At 50.9% G+C, this 24,616-nt stretch overlaps 1 protein-coding gene and 1 long non-coding RNA gene across 11 annotated transcripts in view, besides 3 other annotated features; one reads left to right on the top strand and one right to left on the bottom strand.

Annotated features, from left to right (window-relative positions):
* Positions 1 to 4,247: 4,247 nt before the first annotated feature.
* The window catches only part of PPFIA4 (PPFI scaffold protein A4), a 52,246-nt gene continuing 31,877 nt past the window's right edge, over positions 4,248 to 24,616 (bottom strand). For 4 of the 10 annotated variants that reach the window (NM_001393951.1, NM_001393953.1, NM_001393955.1 and 1 more), the window contains 12 exons: positions 23,713 to 23,806; positions 23,133 to 23,214; positions 22,567 to 22,767; positions 21,952 to 22,014; positions 21,306 to 21,332; positions 18,981 to 19,156; positions 15,192 to 15,289; positions 14,356 to 14,531; positions 11,224 to 11,292; positions 7,227 to 7,407; positions 6,908 to 7,016; positions 4,248 to 6,643 (listed from right to left, as the gene is read on the bottom strand). In NM_001393951.1, coding sequence (NP_001380880.1) covers positions 6,958 to 7,016; positions 7,227 to 7,407; positions 11,224 to 11,292; positions 14,356 to 14,531; positions 15,192 to 15,289; positions 18,981 to 19,156; positions 21,306 to 21,332; positions 21,952 to 22,014; positions 22,567 to 22,767; positions 23,133 to 23,214; positions 23,713 to 23,806 — 1,226 coding nt within the window. In that variant the 3' untranslated portion in view covers positions 4,248 to 6,643; positions 6,908 to 6,957. The remainder of the gene's footprint in view (positions 6,644 to 6,907; positions 7,017 to 7,226; positions 7,408 to 11,223; positions 11,293 to 14,355; positions 14,532 to 15,191; positions 15,290 to 18,980; positions 19,157 to 21,305; positions 21,333 to 21,951; positions 22,015 to 22,566; positions 22,768 to 23,132; positions 23,215 to 23,712; positions 23,807 to 24,616) is intronic. The other 6 variants (NM_001304331.2, NM_001393950.1, NM_001393954.1 and 3 more) reach the window with 3 other exon arrangements.
* Positions 6,430 to 7,165: an enhancer, noted in NCBI's record as "H3K27ac-H3K4me1 hESC enhancer chr1:203044947-203045682 (GRCh37/hg19 assembly coordinates)". NCBI's record gives its function as "activates a minimal SCP1, AML or CMV promoter by ChIP-STARR-seq in primed H9 embryonic stem cells {active_cell/tissue: H9 hESC(primed)}" and the evidence as "EXISTENCE:reporter gene assay evidence [ECO:0000049][PMID:30033119]".
* Positions 13,468 to 13,517: an enhancer, noted in NCBI's record as "active region_2341". NCBI's record gives its function as "activates an Ori minimal core promoter by ATAC-STARR-seq in GM12878 lymphoblastoid cells {active_cell/tissue: GM12878}" and the evidence as "EXISTENCE:reporter gene assay evidence [ECO:0000049][PMID:35858748]".
* On the top strand, positions 15,296 to 17,348 carry LOC105371687 (uncharacterized). Its single transcript, XR_922432.2, has 2 exons — positions 15,296 to 15,463; positions 15,582 to 17,348. It is a non-coding gene; the product is annotated as an uncharacterized LOC105371687 (long non-coding RNA).
* Positions 21,391 to 21,975: an enhancer, noted in NCBI's record as "H3K27ac hESC enhancer chr1:203030137-203030721 (GRCh37/hg19 assembly coordinates)". NCBI's record gives its function as "activates a minimal SCP1, AML or CMV promoter by ChIP-STARR-seq in primed H9 embryonic stem cells {active_cell/tissue: H9 hESC(primed)}" and the evidence as "EXISTENCE:reporter gene assay evidence [ECO:0000049][PMID:30033119]".

Below are 24,616 nucleotides of genomic sequence, written 5' to 3'. Positions count from 1 at the left end.
GCTCTTTTCACCATGATAAAGGAAATCGAGCATGTCTGGACCTCAGTCTAGGTGGAGACCAGATTCCACAGACATCCTTGTGGGACACGGAGGACAACTGGCTATGACTATACTTCAAAGCCACTGCTCACAGGCTGCTGTGCTCTGTGTTATGTCCCAACAGGTCCGCTGGTTTCAGTTAACTGAGCACCTCGTAAGCCCAGTGCTCAGCCCACAGCCAAGGTGCAGAGCTAGAAGTTGTGGTTTCCCTTCCCTAGTCCCCACCTCTGCCCTGGTGTCACAATACCAGGAGCCCTGTAGAGAAGTGGGAGGTGAGGAAGGGGGATCAGACACTGTCATTTCCTTGCGGGCCAAATAGCATGGCCCCTCCCCATTCTCCTCCATTCCCTTCAGGCCGAAGGGGATTGTGGTTCCTGCTTGCAGCTCCCAGCATGAAGGAGATTCAGATTTAGCTCGGGGAGGGTAAAGGGGTCCACAAAGAACAATCGAAGAGAAGCTGGGGTTCTCTTCATTTGGGGTGCTATTTTCAAACATTAGCTTCCTGAGGTTAGAAGGTGGGTGGGAAATTGAGAACAGAGATTTTTGGGTAGACATTACATGAGGATTAACTGGGGAGTTAACAGGAGCTAGAATTCAAACGGAACATGGACATCTACTGAAAACTTTATTAATTCCAACTGCCTGGGGCTAAGTTCATCAGATTTATTGCAAATTATAAGTTTCAGAATCATCACCGAAGCAGGGATTCAGAGCATGGTACGTTCCAGCCCTGCTTAATCCTTCGGGGCCCTTGACAACGGACTTAACCCAGTGTTGCCTGAGGCTCTAGCGACCACCCTGCACCAGCTCCGGGCTCAGCTGGGCCATCTCTCCCACACCCACCCTCCTGACCTTACTGCTGGAGAGGAGAGTTACCACTGTGCCCCCCGAGTTTCTTCAGAAACTCTGCCTAAGGAAAAGAATCAGAAGAAGCCTCTGGAGGCTCCCAGAACTCAGGCGAGGGTGCAGAAGGGAGGGTCTCCCCCACTGCCTGCTTGTCCCAAACCAGTCAGGCAGGGCTTATTGGGAATTGCAAATTGGCCTACTCTGCTCCCATTGGTGGGATTTTCTTCTTTTCAAGTTGGTATCACTGAGTTTAGTCTTTCCCCCTTGGAGGGGCTGGAGAGGAAGACCAAGGTCATTTCCATGACTCTTAGCCCTGATTCACTGCCCTGGGGAATGAGGAGGGCAACTGGGTGGGCTGCAGTGCCTTGGCTCTGGAATCTACATTCACTCCCTTATTACCCTCCGAAAATACTCAGAACACATTCATGGAGGATCGTCTCCCTTCAAGTTCATTTCCTCTGCCCCTGGCACCTCCCACACTCCCAGGGTGGAAACCACCCTCTCCCCTGCAGCTATGACCTGCCCATCCCTTGCCCTCCTTCTTACTGGGATAAGAAGGGCTGGCCAAGGAAGGCACTCAGCTCTGCTGAAGGACAGGTTCTGGGGCTGCTGGATATATTTTTTAAGTCTGCTCCTCTTCAGTTATCCTGACAATTAGACAGTGAGGGTCACATTCAGACTCGGGAAAGAATGAACAGTCCTCAGCACTGTAGTCACTGTCTACTTACTTTTTCATGTCTTTAAGTCCTTAAGGGAAAAACAGTTTGCTAGAATTCCACAGGTGTGAATGGCAAACTCTGCTAAGCAGCAGGCCAGCCTCACTCGTTATTTTCACAGAATAAACAATTGTTATCGAAGCATGGGGACTTTCTTAAATTAGCAAATGCTTAATCTTCACAACAGAATTACAGAAAAGACTCCAATTAATGAATAATGAGTTGGAGTTCTTTAGGGAGATTAGCTCAAATTTGTTCTTTAGTTGGAAGCACCTACAATAAATCAAACTGTATTAATCAAATGTTGCTTAATAATGGACTTTAGGGAATCCACTACAATGAAAAGATAAATATTACTTAAAATTGGCATACCAATTGTTGGTGTGTAAATAGGAACTTCTTCGAGTGCTTAGATAATTGGTGTGAATTGAACGCTTACAGTACTACTTGTGGCACTCCGATAAGCATTCCTAGGGATCTAACCTCCCAGAGTAATTTATTTGGTAGACTGGAAAACCTTCTTAAGTGCTACAGGTGTAGATGGGGTGGATCAACTGGAGAGGGAGGCGGCAGAGGGATGGTGGAGGGTGAGAGGAAAAGATACCCCTCAGCTCAGGTATCTGTTTCCTGGGTAAAACGCCACCCCAACATGTTAGGTTCCTTGGGCTTCCCCGGGCTTCTGGGCCCCAGGCTTGGGCAGAAAAGCCTGAGGGTGGGCCTGGAAGACTTCAGGTTGAGCCAGGATTTTGGCTAAGGAAGCTCAACCCAGTCCTGGATAGAAACTCCAATCACAGCCCCTCCACGATTCTGGCTGTGCCTCATCCCTGTCCCCCTTTGCCACAGGTCCCCACTCGGATCCAGACTCCCTGCCCCTCACTGCTTGGAGCATTCCTAGAGGGAGCAAAGGAAAGGGTTCTAGGAAAGACACCTAGATTCTTCTTTCCTACAAGTGCGGATGGAACCATGATGTCCAGTTCTCACCTCAAGCCCAGGATGTCCAAAATCAAACTCCCATTTACACATAAGTCGGCTCCGTCTATATCTCCTGTCCCAGTGGAAGGCAGCACAAGGAAGTCATAGTTTTCCTGGATCCCTTCAGTGAAGATCTCATTCCCATAGCCAGCCAGTCACCAAGGTTCATCAATTTTACCTTTGATCCTGGAGAGGGTAGCAAGGGACCCCCAGAGGCCTACAGGCACAGGGCCAGTACCTTCCCTCACCTCTGTTTTCCCTCCCTGGGCTGTGTCCAGGGTGCCTTGTCCCACTCCCTCCTGTCACTTGTGCCCATGGACTCTGCTGTCCTTGCTCCATCCATGTTTGGGGCACCATCAGCCTTAAAGAGGACACAGGATGCATGGTGCACTGTGCTACACGAAGGGGAGTTCACCACTCAGGGGAGCAGGGGAAACACAGCCCCCCAAAGATTCACAGCAGCCAAAGACCACATGAGTTGTTCACACAAAGGAGTCAGGGAAAGGGAGCTGGGTAGCTGGGGAAGGCTTGTTGAGGGGCAGGGACTTGAGTTCACTTAAAAGAGAAGCTAGCAACATTCGATAAGCATTGCTTTTCATCATGCTACTCCTAATGAAAAAAAAAATGATAAATACTCCTGGCACTGGGTCAGGAGTTTGAACATACATATCATAGTTAAGGACAAGGCACCGGAGTCAGGAAGGCCTAGGTTTGAGACCCACAACTGTCTCTTACCAGCTGTATTATCTTAGTCTTAAAATGTCCTGTTCTACAAAATGCTGAGAATATATCAGAATTGTGAGGATTCATGAGTTAATATATTTACCATGCTTAGAACAGTGTCTGGCAAACAATAGTACTCAGTAATTTTTAGCTTTTACTAATATTAATCCTTATACAACCCTCTGAGAGAAGGCTGGTGCATTTATTCATTTGAAGATATACACCTAGGGATGGAGAGATCAACAAGACTGCCCTAAAGGAGGTAACTCACAGCCCAGCGTGGGAGGCAATCACTGCCCAGCCTGTGCAGTGTACAGAATGTCTGGAGAGCAGAGGTTGCTGGTTAACTAGTTCTGCTGGGGAGAGGTAGGTGATGCCTCCCCAGTGATGCTTGAAGTGGTCTTGATGGCTTAAAACTACAAAGGTAAGGACAGAAGCAGTCATGCTGCCTTCTGGTGATGGGGTTGGGTGGACACCATGTTTCTGAGTTAGGTGGACTTGAAACTGGTGGGAGGAGGAGAGGTGAAGGAGCCAAGTCATGAATGGCTTCTTAGGCCACACTGAGGAGGAACTGCAACTCTGATCTAGAGGTGCTGGCAGCTGCTGAAAGTGGGAACGGTGGAGTGATGTGACCAAGGGGCATTCAGGAGAAGGAACTCCAGGAGCAGCAGGAAAGGGTGACAGCCTGACCAGGTGAGCGAGATGAAGGAAGACATCAGTTTCCTCTCTCCTTATCTGGTCCTCTACCTACTGGGCACATGCAACCCAAACATTAATCTATCAGTCCTGTGCTTATATAAATAAATAGTTATTGACTACAAGTTCTGAAAATTGTGACATTTCCTTCCAGAGTACAGCAGCCTTTACAACTGTGAAAGAAGCTGGAAATCTCAGGTGAGTTCAGAGTTAAAAAAAAAAAAAAAAAAAAAAAAAAAGACTGGAGGCCATTTGTACATTGTCTTAAAACCAGGTTGTTTATTGGTACGTACACACCCACACTCACACCCACCCACACACACCCATACACCCATTCCTGATGCACTGAGCAAATACAGTACTGAGAAGGGACCTGATGAGATACAGGAGGCTGGTGTGGAGGGCTCGGGTCACTGGTGACTCGCCAAAAAAAAAATATATTGACTATGAGGCAAGGGATACACCAAGACAACAGCCTTCCATCACTGTTTGCACAGAGTTCTCTTCTTAACACCTCCCTGCAACACTTCTCAAGGTGCTCTGAATGGACCCAGCTATCCTGGCACAGCTGCTGCCTTACGACATGGCCAACAGTGGCAGGAGTTGTAGAGGGGAGAGGCTGGGACTGAGTCTCCCTTACAGCCAGCCCATCAAGAGCACCCTGAAGGAGTCAGATGGCTATGCATTGCCCAACTCCACCAATCTTAGGAATCTCCATCATCTTACCATCCATTACCCAGGGATGGGAGCTGTTTATCTCCATCCAACTCATTTTCTGCTCAATAATCCCTCCATCTCCACTCCCAGCAACCTGATGGCAGGGAGGCCAGGGAACACTAAGGGAGAGCAAGGGCAGGTGGCTGCCTTGCCCAAGCCTAAGGGAGAGCCCACCCCACCACACCAGTGATGGGCCTCTCCTCTACCGAAAAGGAGCAGCGGGCTTTAAGCCCTGGCACTGCCCAGGTGCCATTGCTCCTTCTGGACTGGGTGCCCTGGCCCATTATCTCACCTGCAAGCCTAGTCCCTGCTCAGAACTCAAGGTGATCAGGTTGCAAAGCAGCTGCTCCAGCCACCTGTAGGATGGCACTGCACTGGCCCCTATCCAAGAAACACATGCCAGATGCTTTTCCTTTCCTCTCACTTTGATGAAGCCCTCGGTTCCATCATCCCACCCTGAACATAAGTCTTGAACATTTTCAGGCACCTTGGTAGGATGAGGGAGTAGGTGAGGAGCGGGTATTTCTTGGGAATAATATTCCTACCAAATCAGGACCTGTATCCCTCAGCTTGGGTTCCCATCATGCTGCTGGGGAAAGCAATGAAAATGGTGGCAGCTGGGCGGATCTTAGGAATTCCGGGAGGAGGCAGTCCCTGCCCACCAAAATAGCCCTGGATGAGGGTTAGGTGATTTGGGGACAAGCAAGAGAGTGGCTGCCTTCACCAACATTGGATTTCCTGGACCTGGGACATGAATCACTGTAGGAGAAGCTATTTTCTTCCTGGGAGGTCAGAGAAAGGAGGCCTTAGTCTGCCTTTTCCCCAAACTTGACTTTGGGCTCAATGTATATTCAATCCACCCATTAGGTTCATTTTTATAGGGTTGGGATTACTAAAGAAGTGAGGCAGAGGAGGAGAGAAGGGGAAGGGATGCTGGGAGCAGAGCTAGCAATGCATGGTTAGATCTGTTCTGCCCTAGAGTCAAGATCCGCACAACCTCCCTTCCCCATAGCCCAGCAGGAGCTCCACCCGATGGTTGGGGCAGGGGACATTCCCACTGCCCTTTGGGCTTAAGGCTACCAGAGGCCATTGGCTCTCCCTCTGGCTGGTCTGCCTATGCTTCTTATTAGGTGGGAGCTTAGAGTTTCCCCATCCTCACCCTTGGCTCAGAGCTCAGGGATCCATTTCTCTCTGGTTCTTCCCAAACTCAAATTTGGGATTCAGCTTATGCCAGGGCCTGGAATCTCTACCTCAGTCTTCCTCCTCCCAGCCTCACCATCCTGTGGGAGAATGGGGCCTTCAGTAGCCCTTCCCAGCCCCTCCCTGACCCCAAGAGAATGGGGGCAGGAACTGCAGTCACGGTGATGGGTTGGGAGAGTGGTGATGCTGGGGATGCCAAAACCAGCTGCCAGACCATTTGGCACAGCCAGACGTGGATAGACACCCTAAGATTGAATAGCCCAAGCAGGGCTGCGTCTGAAATGACCCTTTCTTGGAAGGACCATCCCAGCCTGTGGCCCAGGATCCTGGTCCTGGTGGAGGTTGCAGTGCAGACCAGGCTGGGTCCAGAAGAGGAAGGGTGGCTTCACATCCACCCTGAGCTGCCCTTCTCTCCTTCCCCCAGAATCCCAAGCATGGACAACCTGGGTGCCTCCACAATACCAGGAAACCCCAGCCACATCCACCGGACTTACAACGGACACACGGTGGGACTCGGGGTAATGGGGTGCCGAGGGGGTGGACGAATATATTCTGAGATCCAGGGCAACCGGAAAGTCACGGACGAGACTAGGAGCTGCGGAAGGAAGGGGAACGAGCAAGAGGGGTCAGGGCCAGAGGAGCCTGTGAAACCCAGAAGGAGGAAGCCAGCCCTGGGGGCCATGGCTAGTCCCGGAAGGCGGAGAGCATGTGTCCGTAGAGATAGTGGGAGTGAGCTGAGGGAGAGAGAGAGACAGGCATCGCACTGTGAGGCAGGTTGCAGGGCATCTGCGAGAGAGGTTGTAGGATGTGTGCGACAGCGGCAACGCAGCGTGCTCCAAGCGCAAAGCGCCCCAGGCCAGACGAAGCAGGAAGGGGCAAGCCAGGCAGTGCTGGTAAGCGGGACTGGAGCGGCAGGGCCAGGCCGGCAGCCAAGGGCAGGTGCGTGGGGCCGAGGGCCAGCAGCAAGGTGCCCGCGTCCCCGGGCCTGGCCCACTTACCCCGAGCCACGGGCACTCCCCCGTCAGACCCGGGGCGGGAGGATGGGGGGTCAGCAGGAGTAGGTCCGAACCGTGGAGGTCTCCAGTCTCTGCGACCCCGCCGTCCCAGCTGGGAGAAGTCGGCAGCCGCGGGAGAACACACAGAGCGGCGGGTTAGTGCGCACACACGCTCCCCGCGGAGCGTTAGTGCAGCTGCAGCGCAGGAGCGCGGGGCACCAGCCTCGGCCTCGCCCCTCTCCACCCGGCCCGGCCCTGGGGTGCCAGGAAGAAGCCCGCGCTCGGCTGGGCCTCGGCCATGCCCAGCCCGCCTGTTACTCACCTTCAGGCATGATCTTCTTTGGCGGGGCCGGTGGGGGCTGCAGGGTCCCCAGGGTGGACACACGGAAGCCCGCCGGGAGGGTCTCCGCGGAAGCGCTGAGCATGCCGCCGCGACCGTGGTGCTCCCGCGGCCGGAAGCGCTTCCTCCAGGAGGGCGCGCGGCGAAACACCTTGTCATCCCCCTGCACCATGGGGGACACCAGAGGCCCGAGGGCCCTGTTGGAATTGCCATCCTCACGCCCTGCCTGGAGGGGGCCAGTCGCTGCTGGTTCAAGGGGCACCACTCCCACCCCTTTGGAAAGAGGGAGCGAGGTCACTTCCCCTTTCTAGCCTTGAGTTTTTCCATCTGTACAGTGAATCGGGAAACCCTGCGACTCTGAAATTCCCTGTCTCTGGGTGGCGGATGGAGGGGGTGTGTGGGGCGGGGGAGAGTCTTGTTGGGTCTGCCATCCTGCAGTTGAACTGTTTCCCAGCCCACCGCAATCTTCTCAAAGTAGGCTTGGCATGACCATTCACCTTTCAAGGCATTCCTCTGCCTCAGCCCATGGGAGGTGACAGCCGGTCCCTATACACACTGTCCTGTCCTTCTGGGGCCTCCGAATGGCTGTAGCCCAGTATACCAGAAGAGTACTATGTCGGGCGGGAGTCAGACACCTGGCTTCTAATCCTGGCTCTGCCATTTTACTGGCTATGTGACCCTGTACCAGGTGAGTGACCCCTCTGAGCCTCAGTTTCCTTATCTGTAAAATGAGAATAATAACATCTGCCCTACCTGTTTCTCAGGCTGCCTACCACTAATGGGATCAGATGAGATCACCCTGTAACAGGGATGGGTCAGGCAGACCACCAAGCAGATGCAGTCTCCTCCAAAGGACATGGCAGGCAGCCCCCTGCCACCTGCCCCCCTCACCCATGCCAGCCATGTCTCCAAAATAACCATCTCTGCCACAGGGCACCCAGGGCCACAACCCTACAGGATCCCCCTCTGCACAGGCCTCCCCACCCCACACTTCAGAGCCTTTATCCACCCTGCTTGGAAGCCATGCCCAATCTCCCTCCACCCCATGTTCTCAGAGCTGATGCAGGCAGAGTGGGACTAGCAGGAACAATGGACATTCACCCACCTGTTCTTGCCTCAACAACCCCTCCCAGCCCTTCCCCGCTAGGGTTTGTTGTGTGTGCCAAGTGGGTCAAATGCTCTGATAAATTCTCAGCACCATGTACCTCTCGGTCACAGCACTCATCCTAGTAGCATTTTTATATATATTTATGAGATTATTTCATTAATACAGTCATGCACCACATAATGTTTCAGTCAGTAATGGATGGCATATACAGTGGTGGTCTCATAAGATTATAATACTTTTACTGTCCCTTTTCTATGTTTAGATATACAAATACTGACAAATGCCAACAGTATTCAATACAGTAACAAGCTGTATAGGTTTGTAGCCTAGAAGCAACAGGCTATACCATATAGCCTAGGTGTGCAATAGGCTATACCCCCTAGGTTTGTGTAAGTACATTCTGTGATGTTCACACAGTGATCAAATTGCCTAATGATGCATTTCTCAGAACTTATCCCCGTAGCTAAGCATCATTAAGCCATGCATGACTGTATCTCTTTCCTCCTCCTTTTCTCACCTCCTTCCCTTCTCCCTACCTCCATGCCTTTCACTTTCTTTCTCGCTCTTTCTCTCAAATTCTATGCTCCATGGGGCAGAAACCATAACCTTTTTTGCTCCAACCAATGTATCACCAACCTCTGAGCAGTGCCTGGGATCACATTAGGCACTCAATAAAAATATTCATTAAATGAATAGGTGGCAGCTGGCTCTTTATGCAGGAGTCCCATTCCTGAGTTTGTTAGGAACTTCCCTTGTCACTGCTGTCCTCCCCATGATCCTGCTCTTACCCTAGCCCAGAGCCTCTTTTCTCTCTCCCGCCTTCCCCTTATCTCCATTTCCACCTTCAGCCAACCCTAAGGACCTGTTTCTGCACTCCTCCCCTGTCCCCTAACAGTCAGATGTTATTCCTTCCTGCTCCCCTCTTCCTTATTTCCCTTGAGTCCTCATCTCCATATGCAGGGAGAACTGGATACCGCCCTTAAGAGCCTTGAAGCTTGAGAAGGGACACTAAGTACCAAAATCAGCAGAGGGTGTGGTTGCAAGAGACAACTCAAGGTTGCTGATGATGTGCTAGACAGTTGGACAGGAAGCAGTCTCCTTGGACCCCAGACCCTCCCCTCACCCCTAAATCTTGCCTTATTCTCAGGACCTGGCTTCTACTCTACGCTTCCCACAAAAACCCTCCTCTCTAGCCCACACCTAGTTGAATCCCAAAAACTCCACTGCACAGCTCTATGTGCACCCCAATGTCTAAACAATAACTCCACCCCAATGTCTGGAGGCTGATAGGCCAGATAGCTCCACAAGCTTCCCAGAGGAAGTGGAACAAGGGGGAAGAGCTCAGAAATCAGACTCGCATCTGCTTCGGTCCTGCTCTGCCACAGCAGGTAAGTTCCCTCTTAGAGCTTCAATTTCCTCATCTGTAAGATGGGCATCATAACCTATCTCATGTGGTGATCATTACCATAAAGTGAGACATCGTCATCACTAACCACCATGCCTGGCACAATGCCTGGCACAGGGCAGGCATTCAAAGAATATTTTTGTAAGGATTGAAGGACTACATAGCTTCTAAATTAGACAGCACCACACTAATAGATATATGGGAGTCATTTCTCCAGACAGCAACAAACAAAGCAGAGATCCTGAGTGCATGTGGAATTAGTGGGAGGGTCAATATCACAGGGGCATTGGGAAAACAGATCTATCAGAGTTGGGACAGCTCTGGGTCGGGGGAGGGGGGGCTGCCAGTTTAGCCCCTTTAAAGTATCTAAATAACCAAAAAAAATACATATATAAGTCTATTCTTTTCTCCCAAACTTCAAGGTACCTCTGTGAAGAAAACACTTCCACAAATTCTGTGTATTCCTTATAGTGCCCTGTGTCCCCGAGGCAGAGCAATCCTTCTACAAAGGTGGATTTTCGCCCTGTTAAACCCTACTAAGAAACAGTGATTGGACTGAAGACAGAGCAGCGAAAAACACACACACTCTGGGCTTTCTTTTAACTTGTTTGGAGCCAGATCAACTAGCGCAGACCTGACAGGCAAGGGCAGTGATAGGAAAGTGAGGAGGGAGGAAGAGGAGGCGGGGGCCAAGGAGGGGCTATGACCTCAGCAAACCAGTGCAAAACAAAACAGTAGGATGCTTAGGTTGGCATCTCAAAGGGGACCATATGGCTTAGAATGCCAGGGTCTTCCCTCAACTCAAGGGGAATGCCTGATGAAATCAAGTGCAAGGGACTGTTCCTTCAGTGACCAGGAGGGCAGAGAGAGGAAAACTTTAACTTGGTGTGAAGGTAGACCCAAGGGTGAAACTAGAGAAAGCTGGGATGGTAAAAGCCCGAGCGTGTGTTTAACTGTGCAGACTGCACTGGGAGCGAGAGAGCAAACCTGTCATTTAACAACCTCAGCAGGGCATCCGCCTCCACACACCCACACTCCTGGAGGACAGGCTGGAATCTTACTGAGCAAGCTGGAGGTGTGCTGAGCTCAGCACTGAAGATACATGGTCTGAGAGATTAAGAAAAAGGTGTGATCCCAAAGATATGGCCTTTGGGGAAAATCTTTGATCCTATGTGGATAGGAAGGCGGGGCACAGAATTGGAAGATGCTGGAAGTACAACACATGGGCCTTCAGCTTTTGCACAGGAGTTTCACAGAGACTTCTCGACAGCCTATTACTACCCAAGACAAGTTCTTCTAGGGCTGGTCCACCTCCTCAACCCCCTGACATTATCCCCATCCCCTCTGGCTCTCCTCCCATAGACTAGCCTTCCAACAATTAGCCCAGGGAAGGCAGAACTCATGAACCTCAATCCAACGAAGATGACCAAATCCCCAAGGCTCCTAATTCATGGCCAGGTACTCACGTCATCCAGCTTCCGGTCTGTGCCCAAGGCCAACAGGTTATTGAACTCTCTTTCCATCACTTGGCGTGCCTGCAGTCCATAGAGCAGGAGAGGGAAAGGTGGGAAGGGCTATAGTTAACTACCTTTATGCCATCTTTCACCATTTTCCAAGGGTCCAAGGTCAGAGATGCAAGGCTCCAGTGCATTTAGCCCATTAGAGGCCTTTACACACCTTTTTGAAGCTGCTCCTTCAAGCAAACTCATAAGTAAAGCTGTAAGCCTAGGATTCTTTCATATACAGCAAATTAGAACAACATAATTTTTTTTTTTAAAGTAGTGGCCGGGCACTTTGGGAGGCCGAGGCGGGTAGATCACAAGGTCAGAAGGTCAAGACCATCCTGACTAACACAGTGAAACCCCGTCTCTACGAAAAATACAAAAAATTAGCCAGGCATGGTGTGGCAGGCGCCTGTAGTCCCAGCTACTCGGGAGGCTGAGGCAGGAGAATTGCTTGAACCCGGGAGGCGGAGCTTGCAGTGAGCCGAAATGGCACTACTGCACTCCAGCCTGGGGGACAGAGTGAGACTCTGTCTCAAAAAAAAAAAAAAAAATAGCAGTCTTGGCAACATACTGAGACCCTGTCTCAAAAAAAAAAAAAAATTTAATTAACTGGGCATGGTTGTGAACACCTACAGTCCCAGCTACCAGTTAGTTGGGCAGGAGGATAGCTTGATCCCAGGAGTCTGAGGCTACAGTGAGCTATGATCACACCTGCACTCCAGATCGGGTGATAGAACAAGACCCTGTCTCTAAGAAAAAAAAAAAACAAAAAAGTGGGATCATAGAACACATAGATAAAGAGACGTCACCTACTTGGAAAAAAAATTGTCTGAAAGGGGAAAATTGTGCCTGTCTTTCTCTTTCTGGAGGGGTAAGTAAGCATGTAAACCATGGATAACCAGAACATGACTGATTTGGATTAAATAAATATATCTGATAAGTTTTCACATCAAAAACTTAAAATTAGGAAGCCTGCTCAGCTGTGGATACTGGTTGTCCCTGGGCTGTGTGCATACAGACTCTCTCTAGGCCTCCCAGGAGATTAACTCATTCAGAGTTTTCAGAAATGCCAAAAACAGAAAAGTTTTCAAAACTGCTACCAGATATTTTTAACCTTTTTTTTTTTTTTTTTTTTTGAGGGAGACAGGGTCTCATTCTGTTGCCCAGGCTGGAGTGCAGTGGCACAATCATGGCTCACTGCAGCCTTAAACTCCTGGGCTCAAGCAAAACTCCCGCCTCAGCCTCCCGAGTAATTGGGACTACAGTCACGCATTACCAAACCCAGTTAATTTTTTAAACTTTTTGTAGAGACTGGGTCTCACTATGTTGCCCAGGCTGGTCTTAAACTCCTGGCCTCAAGCAATCCTCCCACCTTGACCTCCCAAAATGCTGAGCATACAGGCCTGAGCTACCACACCGAGCCATTTTTAACCATTTTAAATGAGGGATTCCGTATTGGGTCACACACTACTTCTCCCAACAGCTAAGCTCAATGACGGGGTCAGGAAATTAAGAAAGGTTAGAAAGCCATAGGGAGGTGTCCCTGCTACTATTTACAGAATTACTGCTATCCTCCAAAACTGAATGCATTAGAGATAGGAAATCAAAGAAAGAGAAAAGTCCATTTCTAGGTAGAAAATATTAAGCGTAGAGTTCCATAAGGACAGTCTGTGCCAGTATTGGGAACATAACATTTTTAGAAATGATCTGAAAGGAGAAGCACAGTAAATTTCAAGTATCCAAATGACACTGCTCCTCTGGGCAGTGAAAGGTGAGGAGGATAGGTGTAAATTTCAGAAGCGTCTCACAAAGAGAGGTGAGTGGGCAGCAAAGTGGCAGACGAGGCTTGCCCGAAGTGGGCAAGTGGAGAGAACGCACTTGGGGGAAAAATCCAGGCTCCTCTTGGAGAATGAAGGGATCTGTCCTATCTATTTTGACTGGTTGGGGTGGGGGCGGGGCGGGGGGGTCACTGCAGAATGCCTACAGGACACAATGGCCCTGTGCACTGCCACCACCCCCAAAAGGCCAACACACTGCCCAGAATTACGAGACAACACAGCCCTACCCTCATTCAAGCCAAAACGTGTCTGCTCCCAGAATAGCCTGTGCAGCTCTGGTGGCTGAATTTCAAAAGAGATCTGACAGCTGCAAACAGTCCAGACAAGGGCAGCTAAAACAATCAGGGGACAGAGGCGAGTCTATATGAGGAAAGCCTAAAAGAATTAAGAACACTCCGTCTGGAGAGACAAAGGCTTGGGCCCAGAGGCAATACAATCAGAGTTTATGAAATCATAAAAGGTGAGAACTAGTTAAATACAAATATCCTTACCAAACCTAAACCATCAAGAGGAGGTAGTTCCTTCCCCAGGGGCCTGACAGGGGCATTTTCAGGACAAATAAAATCAGGAAGTACTCTACACAACAAGCAGTACTTCTAGAATCTATTACCCACAGGAAGTTAGAAAGGCCAAAAATATAAATAGGTTCAAGAGAATTTAGATATATTCTTAGATGACAGCTCCATAAAAATGATGAAATGTAATTTCATGAGATGTTTAATCATTTGAGCTGTTGACAGAGAGCCAAAGCCCTGGTGTGGAGAGGCTCTGGGTTGTGTAATTTGGTATATTTAGCTTTTTTAAGGCTGGGGGCCCAGGAGCAGATCCCTAGGGTGGTAGACAAAGGTGATATGGGCTCTCTGGTCCCTAGGGGCCCTGGGGCTCATTCCCCTCTAAGAAAAGTCAGATCAGAGAAGCAGGATGAAAAGGAAGGCTCAGAGTCTCAGCTATGAAGTGGGGTTAGGAGGAGATAGAGGTACCCAGGGCAGGACGGGGATGCGCATTGTAAGAGCACACTGTGTGCCAGGCCCACGCTAGGTGTGCTCTGTATGTGAAGGCCATGTGTTCCCATGAGGGCTTGCTTATGCACAGCGATCACTTGGAGAATTGAGGACATTGCGATCCCCTCTGGCATAGGCCCTAGAAAAGCTCCCCACCCCCCAAGATACCTAAGCCTTTGTGTATGAGGGAAAGAAAGAGAGCAAGTGAGGGATACAGGGAGAGACTCAAGTTGACTGATTAAAAGGCTGCCCACCTGGGTGTTCTGTGTGGGGATCTGGAGGATCAGGGCCAGTGTGTTGTGGTCGAAGTTCTCGTCCAGGGCCAGCAAGGCTCCATGCACACCACTCTCATGCAGGTTTCCTGCGTAGTCCCGGAGCCCAATAGACTGGACCCAATGAACCACCTGGTCGTTGGTCCAGACTAACACATCTGGAGTGTGGGGGAAGAAAAGGGACGGAAGGAGATACTACGTTTCATCAAGGGCCCTCCAAGGACAGAAGCAGAGCTCCCTAAACCCAGAGCCGCAGTCCACCCTGCTCTCTGACCCCCACTCCATCCCTAAATTTCCATATCTTCTTTCTCTCCTCCCTGGCACCTGGGTGCCTGGGGAACCAACCCCCCACTCACTCCATCCCTGCCAGTTTACAGGACCCGGGGTCAGGCCAACAGGCTCCAAGCTTTCTCCCCAGAACCCTTGCACGGGTCATCCCCCTGACCCAAGCTGGAATGGCCTTCTTATTCTTTCCACCTTCAAGGTCTCCTCTAAGACTTGCATCTCCCATCCAGCCCCATCCAGATCAACAAGTTCCACAGGCACACCAGTCTATAACACCGTCCCAGAGGATTCACTGCATTTGTCCAGTTGGTGGCTGCTATCTGGTATGTGGGGTTGAGGGAGGGGAATTATAGACAACTTGGCATGGACTATGTCTCCTCCATCAGACTGGGAGCTCCCTAAGGTGAGGCTGCATCTTCCTTTTCAGACTGGAAGATTCCCTGAGACACAGAATGCCTCCCCTCCACTTGGCCCAAGGCAGGGACCAGCCAAGCAGGCTGCTCCCGAACCCTCTCCAAGCCTGACGAGCTTACCCTTGATCTCATGCTGGCTCTCCTCTCGCCTCTTCTCCAGCTCCTTCCGGTCATAATTCAGCCTCTTCAGACACATGATGCCATACTGAAGACTGGTTCTGCAGGCACACAGCCCCCAAGCCAGAGCCTCAGTGGGGCCACATTCCCACACCACCTGTCTCACATCCAGCATCAGCCACAGCATGTCCAGACCTACTGCCTCCAGCACAAAGAGCACCCCAGCCTCCTCATGCTCCTCCTTCCCCAGGGCCTTGCCTGCGACCCATCCCGAGGTTACTCCCTTTCTCTGTCTAACCCATATCCTCCCTCTCAGTCAGGGAGCGGGCCTGGGGATGGATTGATGGGAAAAAAAGTTCTTTGAATGAATCCAACATGTCCCTCTCTCTCCAGGCACTGGAACGACAAAGACCCCTACCACCTGCAAGTGGAAGGAAAAGCAAAAACAAGATACCCCTTTGTATCCCTACTTCACTCGGAGTCCTTACAATGGCCTATAAGATACTCCATGATCTGCTCCACTACCCATTTAACACCCACTTCAGCCACTCTCCCTCTTGCTCTCTCTGCTGCAGCCACACTGACACCCCTGCTGCTCCTCAAACACAGCAGGCTCACTGGGCCTGCAGGCCTCAGGGCCTTTGCACTGGTGGCTGCCTCTGCCTGGAACACTCCTCCCCCAGTTGGCTGTGTAGCTTACTCCTTTTGCCTCCATTAAGTCTTTGCTTAAATGTCACCTTCTCAGTCCAACTCACTAGTCACGTTGTTCATCCGATTTAAAATTGCAATTATCACCATCACCACCCCTAGCCCATACTCCCAATCCCTCTCACCCTGGTCTAATTTTTTCCTAGCATGTTTTGTCTATTAACATACCATATATTTATTATTCCTTGACTGTCTCTTCCAGTTAGAATTCATAAGCTCCATGAGGGCAGGGATCTTTGTTTTGTTCACTGATCCTAAACCCCTAGCACAGAGCAGGGACTCTACAAATGCTTGATGAATTAAAGGAAATAATTAATTCGCATAAATTACTAAAAGTACTTAAACAGTATCAGGTGCAGAGCAAGCATTCAGTAACTAAGCCAGGCATAGAACCACAGATTCTGTGGGTCAGAAGGAACCCTGGAGGCCATCAGTCCACGCTCCCACCTAAGGCAGGAGTCACCCCTACAGCTTCCTTCAGAGTAGTCACTGAGCCTGTGCCTGAATGCCTCCAGGGGCAGCGAACTCATTACTTCTCAAGGCAGCTCATTCCATCTTGGAAGAGCTGTAGTGTTCTTCCTTCCTTGAATGCTACTTTGTCATTCAGCTTCTCTGAGTTTTCCCATCTTTAGAGAATTAGAATGGAAAGTCCCTCCCAACTCTACCTGCTTTTGACTCTTATTGAGGGCACTGCTTTGTGAGATTAAATTGTGCAGACTGCTCCCTCCTTTTCTCCCCTCACTTCTCAGCAGGAGGCTCTTCTGCCTAGAACAGAGCTCAGAGATGCCACTTCCAGGAACCCTTTTCTGGCCCAAGCCACCCTTATGTTGCTCAAGCCGCTGGTTTAAGCTTTGGTCCACTGTGAAGGGGCATGCGCACACACAGCTCATGACTGGAAATGCCTTCTGTCTAATTTCAATCTCACTCACTATAATTTTCAGTCCAGTTCCTTTCAAAGCTGCTGCATACCATGGCAAAAATACAAAGCCCTTAAGCTCTGCCCTTTCCTAGCTGAGAGGCACCCAGCAAATGTGAGATGGGGTCACACCTCTCTTGCAGGTGACAATAAATACAAGGGCTTAGCCAGCCCTTGGGAACATTACAGGCACTCAGTAGTGGCAGCACTATTAGGGTGACATTTATGACTATCATGCATGCTTGTCCTACCAAAACAGGAGCTCTTCTAGAAGACCTGCTCAATAGAGCACCATGTCCCAAGGAAAAGAGCTCTGAGTAGGGTGTCAAGAGACAAGGATTTGAGCCCCATTCTGTAATCACCTGGCTGGGTGACCTGATGGAAATCAACCTCTATTGAACTTGTTTTCCTTATCTGTAAAATAAGGTTTTAAAATATCCCTTTCTTGTCATAAAAATCATGATTTAAAAGAAATTTTAAAGACGTAAGAACATGCTTGTGAAATGTTACGTGGAATAAAAGCAGGTAGACACATAGTTTGGCGGTGAGATGTGAAAATGCTTTAGAAACTCTGAAGTACTCAAGATTCAGAGCTGAACCTAGAACCCCATGTTCAGGTCACAATTCTCTCCTGGGGATGGGGCAGAGGGGTTGCGGGGAGGATTTCCATAGTCCTGGCTGGGGCCAGGCTGACAGATCCTCTAGCAGCCCAGGCACATCCCGGCTTGGTGGGGCAACAGCTCATCTCTCCCCAGCCCTATCAATCACTGAGTAGGGGACAGGTGCAGCTGGGCCTGGCAGCCTCCGGGCAGAGAAAAACGATTCCTTTTCAGCCCTAGCTGATTTGGGTGGGGGCGGGTGCAGAGGGGAGGATGCGGTCTTCCCTCACAAGTCAGCCCTCATGCTGGGGTCACATAGGCCAAGGGTTCTAAGCCAGGAGGCTCTGTGCAGTGCCAAGAGCACTGGACTTGAGTCAGCGTACCTGGGTTCCCCTGTACTCTGCTATCATCCCTGAGTGACCTTGGGCTACTGCTCCTCCCCATGCCTTAATGTTCTCATCCATAAAATGGGGACACTAACAAGATCCCTTCCAGATTTAACTTTCTATAAGATTTCTGAGTTGGAGAGACCACAGGACATCCACAGAGCCCTGAGAGAACCTCGAAGACCCCTACTCCTGGTCTTATTATCCAGTCAAGACAAAAGACTTGGCTCAAAGAGCCACCCACACGACTTGAAGCTGGATGTTAAGAAGGACTTCCTAAAAACTGCCAAATCCTAGAACCGTGGCCACCTACTGCATTCTCCAGCACAAATGCCTGCTGGGAACAGGCAGGTAACACAAGTGAGAGAAGCAGGCTGGGGGGCTGGGAGGCCCTGGAGCAGGCCCACCCATCCTGAGTGGACTCCACTCTTCAGCTCCAGCTGGTTGCTTCCATGCTAGAATGTGTTGACAGAGCTTTCAAGTTTTCAAAAGAAGCCAGAAATCCAGAATTGTATATAAAATCTACTGTTTAAATACTGGCAGCTCAATTTGAGTGGTGAAGATTTATGTGGGCCAAACAAAAACAAGTCTGTGGGCCAAATTCTGCCCACAGGCTGCCAGTTTGGGACCTGCGCCGCAGACACTTTTGAACAGAAGATCTTTTCAGCAAAGAGGAGGAGAGGACTGGATGATATCCTATAAAAAGGGATGTGAGCCCAAAGCGGAGAGGTTCCGATCTGGGATGTCGGCATGGCAATGGCCCAGGAAGACCTTCCCTCTCAACTTGGAATGAGACACCTAAATTGAACACCAGGTTCAGTTTGAGTCTTGTCAGGTAAACACAGCAAATTCAGCAAGCCCAAAGACAAGCAATAAAATTCAGACCTGGGGAAAAATCTCAAAGGAGGTGAAGCTAAAGAAAAATGACTTTTTGTGTCTTTAGGACTAGACACAATGACCTAGTCATTATAAGGACAGAAACCTGGTCAATCTGAGGATCGAATCCTCAAATTACAGGATGTGACAAGGATTTGACAAGGGAGACTTTCCCAAGGGGGAGACCTGTTGCCACTCAGAACAGACCACGGAAAGAGATGGAGGCACCTCTGTTCCTGGAGGCAGACCCTCAGAGCTAGGGGAGGCCCCCACGAGGGAGGTGGCCCTGGGTCCCAGCCGCGCTCACCGATGGAAGCTGTCCACCATCTTCAGGTGGACCCGCAGGTCCTTCTTGGTGAGGTGGTCCAGCATGCGGGCGTCCACCAGGCACTCCATGAAGTAGCTGCGGTACTGCGGGAGCCCCAGGCTGGGTAGCCATTCATTCCCAATCCACTCATGGTTCATGTCCCCATAGGCCAGGGTCTAGGGAAATGAGATGCAGGAGGCTATTATGGGGGAGGAAGGTAGAGCCAGCAGGCTGAGGCTGGTATAGCTGGTCGGGAGACACATGAATCCATCCTCCACCCATGAGGGAGGAAGGGCAGTCCAATACAATTTCAGTTTATCTTCAATAAGGGGGCTGGTAGTGGTGGGAGGTGAGGATTTTAAATGGAACTTTTTAAGATCTCGAAATGATACGGTTCCACTCACATATCAATTATCTACACTAATGAACAGAAGTAGCTATCCCGGCAGCAGCTAATATGAAATCCTTCCTGTTGACTCTGGGTTGCATTTGCGGTATTGTGCAGCAGACGTGCCTTCCTGACTCTCAGTGAGCCTCAAGCCCGCTGAGCCCAGGGGAGAGGCTGTGTTACAGAGGACCTGCAGCGTGGCAAAGGAAGCCTGTCTCACTCCGGGACAAGGCTGGCTTCATGGAGGAAGCAAGGAAGTTAAATGTTGGCAGAAGACTGAAAAAAATAAAGGGTGGTGGCCTGTGCCTGAATAGCCAGCAGCACTCATTCTCTAAGGCCTGAGCCTCTGCTCCAAGAACACTCCAGGTCCTCTGTTGCTTTCCCACGCACACCCTGCCGTGTGGTCCTGCAGGGCCTGTGCCATGTGGACGTGGCCTCCTGACCTGGGCAGGGTGCTCCGTGACCACCCAACTTGAGAAAGCTTTAGTTTTCATAGCGACCCTACCTCACTCTTTCCTTACCCTTACTTGATGTTTTCAGATAGAAAAAGTCTATTTTGTTCTCTTTTACAATGTAATAGCTGATACATATAAGACTATATGTAATGTGCCCATTATGAAGCATATAAATGAAGTTAGCAACAGTGGACACCAACCAAGCTAAGCAGCAGAGCATTACCCACACTGTACTGTTTGCACACTGATGCTCGCTGTCAGCACACATCTCCTACTGCCCCTCTAAAAGGGAACCACTATGCTGAGTTTTCTGACTATTCCTTTGGTTGTAAAAAACTGTTTTACACTTTTTACAATCATCCATGTATATTTCCCTAAACAACATATTATTAATTTTGTTTGGTTTTGAGTTTTGGGATCAAATTCCATGCATCTTTTAGGATCTGCATTCTTCATTTCACACCCTATGGCTCGGATCCCCCCCGACCCATCACCTCTGCCAAGGGTGTTTTATGGCATGAATGATTCAGCCAGTCTCCTGCTGGTGGGGTTTTCCCTGAGCAGATATACACAGTGCTGCTCCCTGCTTCATTCTTCACAGCTCGCATCACTATCCAATATTGTCCCTTTATTTGTTTACTTATTGAGACTATCTTTTTTTTTTTTTTTTTTTTTTTTTTTGAGACGGAGTCTTGCTCTGTCACCCAGGCTGGAGTGCAGTGGTGTGATCTCGGCTCACTGCAAGCTCCGCCTCCCAGGTTCACGCCATTCTCCTGCCTCAGCCTCACGAGTAGCTGGGACTACAGGCGCCCGCCACCATGCCTGGCTATTTTTTTTTTGTATTTTTAGTAGAGACGGGGTTTCACTGTGTTAGCCAGGATGGTCTTGATCTCCTGACCTCGTGATCCGCCCGCCTCGGCCTCCCAAAGTGCTGGGATTACAGGTGTCAGCCACCGCGCCCAGCCGAGACTGTCTTTTTTATCCCTATTGACATGGTTTGTTTACTGATATTATTCCTTTATTTGTTTACTGCCTCCATGAGGGCTTGCTTTCTTTACTTCTATATCCAGAGAGCCAGGAAAGGCCTAATCCTTATATTTGCTCAATAAACGTTTGCTCATGAAATGGATGAAAGACCTTCGCTCAGTTCACCAGGGTGCCCCTGAGAGGGACAGGGAGAGGAAGAAGACTCATACTAATCTAGGTCTGATTATTCCCAGGAAAAGAATGAGACTGAGGAGAAGGGCCAGGAATGCAGGGGCCACAGTCCTCCAGGGCTCCTCACCTGCCACCCTGAGAAACCAGAACAAGCAGTTTGAGGGAACTGGGTGGGGGCGGGGGGCACTCTGATGGGAGCAGAGAACCTATGTCCAGGGCTTTTCATATGAAGGACTCAGAGATTCCTGCTGCGGAGAGAACCTACCAGAAGAACACTGTCCTGAAGTTTTGGGAGCTGGTTCTAGACAGGGTAGGGAGTCTTACCTGAGCCCAGCTGCCCTCCTCACTGTCCTAGCAGGAACGAGTGCAGCGTGTTAGGGGAAACAGGCAAAGTCAAGAAACCCATCAGCTCTACCCTAGGCCCCATCAAGGAGAGGAAAAAGACATCCCAGTATCTGGCTGGGTGACTGGGGAAAGCTCGTCAGGATGGTTAAGAGAGAACACAAGGTTGGTGTGTGCACCCATGTTTGCGTTGAGGTGGGGCAAATGTGTGTGTGGCAAAAACACACACCTCCCAGGCTTGACTGGGAGCCAGGCAAGATGCCCAGCTCTCCCAACACTCCCCATTCCTCCACCAGGGAGGAAGCACAAGGGCAGAGACTCTGTGGCTCAGGTCCATAGCAGGGCAAAGCCCTCCCCAGCCCAACTCTCCTCCGCTGTAGCACACCAGTGGCCCAGGGCAAGCTTGTGACCTCCTGGGAAGGATCACACACATACAAACTGCTCCGCTCCCAGCCTCACCCCTCTCCCGACAACCCTCCACCGTGACAGCAGATCACACCTCAGGGATACCAACCTCACGTGAGATCGATGGCAGCCCACTCTGACTGCCCACAGCCTTCCCCTCATCCTCATGGGAGTATCAGTCCCAACCCCAGGCCCAGGGACAAAGGCCAAGGGCCAGACTCACTGTTTTAGTAGATGTTTCCAGAGTTTCCATCTCTTCATGGGTGACCCAGACATTCCCAGAAGACTGCAGGCAGAGAGGAAACCTAGCTGGTCCTGGGTGTGGGTCCCCAGGATCCCCATCAGGCTGGGAGCCCAAAGGACAAGGACAAAGCTCCCTCCCTGAGTCCTCTGAAATGGGGGCTGGTCTCAATCATGGAGATGGCCGACAATGAAAGACTCCACCCCAGGGGCCCACAGAGCAGTCCGCATTCTTGTGTTAGAGGACCAAGACAATATTCACAAATGCCCTCTTCCCTTTGTTTCCCCCAACCTGACAACCATATAAAACCCCAGAAAGCCCATCCTGGAAACTGCCCAGAGACGTGGAAATTTTGGCAGAGTAGGGATGGGGAGATGGAGCCCCATGGGTGGTATGTGAAAGGCAGGGAACCAAGGCTGCTGGTATCCTCCTAGAATCAACATCATATCCTCCTGAAGACCAGGGAGAGCCCTTTGTGAGGATGGGAAGGAAGGGGCAGGGCTCAATGCTGCCATCTTCCCAAAGCCCAACAGGAGACCTTGCAAACTATGTTCCAGGACCTCTGAAAATGTCCTGGGCAAAGGAGGGGCCACTCACAGTCCTGGAGGTGGGTGGGGCAGAGGGGCTGGTCAATGACACCATCTCCTGAATGGCCAGGCGGAGCTTGAGCCGGTGCAGGGCATTGCTGATGCCGATCTCCCGCTGGATCTCTGTGTCCGACAGAGCGGACATGATGGCACCACTCTTGACGTTGGCCCGGCAGGCTGCCACATACCAGGCAGGCATCCCCACCCAGAGCTGCAGACACCGGGCACAGGGAGGTAATTCAAGGCCTGGGCCCTACCACCAAGAGTTTGGCAACAGCAAGGGGCAAGGGCCAGGCCTCATCCACGGACTCGAATAGCAAATACAGATCATAGGAATGTGGCGGTCATCAAACCCCTCACTCTCCCATTTTACAGATTAAAAGTAGCATCAACTCTCTCCTGCGACTGGTATGTGTGTGTGTTGGGGAGGGGGAGGGGGGCTAAATGCTAGGTATGGCACACTTCCACTTGGCAGGGGAGAAACACACTGTAAAAGTTCTAGGACACCACCCCTCTGCCCACCCCAAGCATCCTTCCCTCCAGACCCCTGAGTGGACTCCCTTTGCTCAGGCTTACCTCCAACCAGGAGACCACAGTAGGACCATCCCACTGGGCAAAGGGCATTCCTTTCCTGCGGGCATCTTCAAGCAGCTGGTGTCTTATAGGAAGAGGAACAACAGACTCACTAGTTCTTCCTTCTCCCTTAACTGTTCTTGCTCCAGGGACCACTGGGCTGTGCAAGAGCTGGAGACCCACAACCCTTGCTCCCCACCCTGGACTTCCTCTGCTCTGCTCTTCCTTCTTCCTCTGAAGAAATACAACAAGAAATGGGGCAGGAACACCTGACCACCCCAAGAGGGCGAGGAGCTCTCTGTTTGCATGTGACCTGACATTGACTTAGAGATTTCAATCTGCCCTGCCAGAGACCCAGAGGACCCAGGTCACTGTCCCATAACCCCCTTGCCTCCTTCTCCCTAGGCTCATCCTAAGAACCTCCTCCCAGCCCTGCTGTGCCCACATGGACCAGACCAACTCAGTTCAGGAAGGGCCTTGCTGGGGTCTGGGTCTCTGAGCTCAGTTTCACAGCAGCCCAGGGGAAGGGAAGTGGGTAGGGGGCTGGGCCCCACCCTGGCAGACCCTGGCCTGTGGCTCTTACTTCTTCTTTAGCCGCCGGTCCTTCTCTGCCTGGGTCCCCAGCTTGGCAGGCACCATAGGCTCCTGCATACTGAATTCGGAGTCTGTTAGCAGAACTACAAGGAAAGAGATGTGTGTGTCAGCCAGCCCCTCTGCCTCTCCTCCCTTGCCTGGATCAGGGGTGGGGAACAGAAGCAGCAGGAGGCTCCTTGGCAGAGGACAACCCATGGCCTGACGGGACCATTATTCCTGGAGCTTCTGCTCAGTGTCCCTGCATCCAAGCAGTCTCAGAGAATGGCATCAAGCGGGTCATCCCCAGTTCAGAGAGTCTCCCCAGGAGCCTCAGCCTTGGGGGTGTTTTCCAGCCAGATGGACCCAAGTTATCGACCCTAGAATCCTAGACAGAACCTGTCCTTCCTCCAAGCCAAGGTGCAAAGGAAACCCAGAGCCCCAAACACAAGTGGGCTACAAGGCTCAGAGAGAAGGATGACCCTGGCTTGGGTCAGGGGTGTGGAAATCCACACACTGAGAGCTGTGTCTCTGAGCCTCCTTCTCTGGGTGCATTCACTTGCACAAAACCACAAAGGGGAACATGCAGAGTTCTGTCTTCTACTAAACATCTCCTTGAATTGATGCTAGAACCCTTCAGAATTCGTGGCCAGAGGCAGAATCTTAGAATTCTTTTAAGTCCCGGTCACCCCCCCACAGTGCACAGTAGGCAACAAGTTTGGGTAATCCAGAAACCAATCTGAGGTGCTGTCTCAGGTTTAGGTGCCAACGTGTGTGGAGAGCATCGAAAATCATAAGGCTTCACCCAAAATGCTTCTTCCCCTGATCAAACCGTTCAGCTTCCCCTGTCTGTGGCCAGCTCCACAACTCCCCTCACCCCTGTGGACTGGGGAAGAAGGAGCTGGACCTCATTCTCT

The sequence above is a fragment of the Homo sapiens genome, chromosome 1 (genome assembly GCF_000001405.40).
Source record: "Homo sapiens chromosome 1, GRCh38.p14 Primary Assembly".
Lineage (NCBI taxonomy): Eukaryota > Metazoa > Chordata > Mammalia > Primates > Hominidae > Homo > Homo sapiens.
The sequence above is the reverse complement of the archived record's forward strand: the minus strand, read 5'-3'. Positions and strand labels throughout refer to the sequence as shown.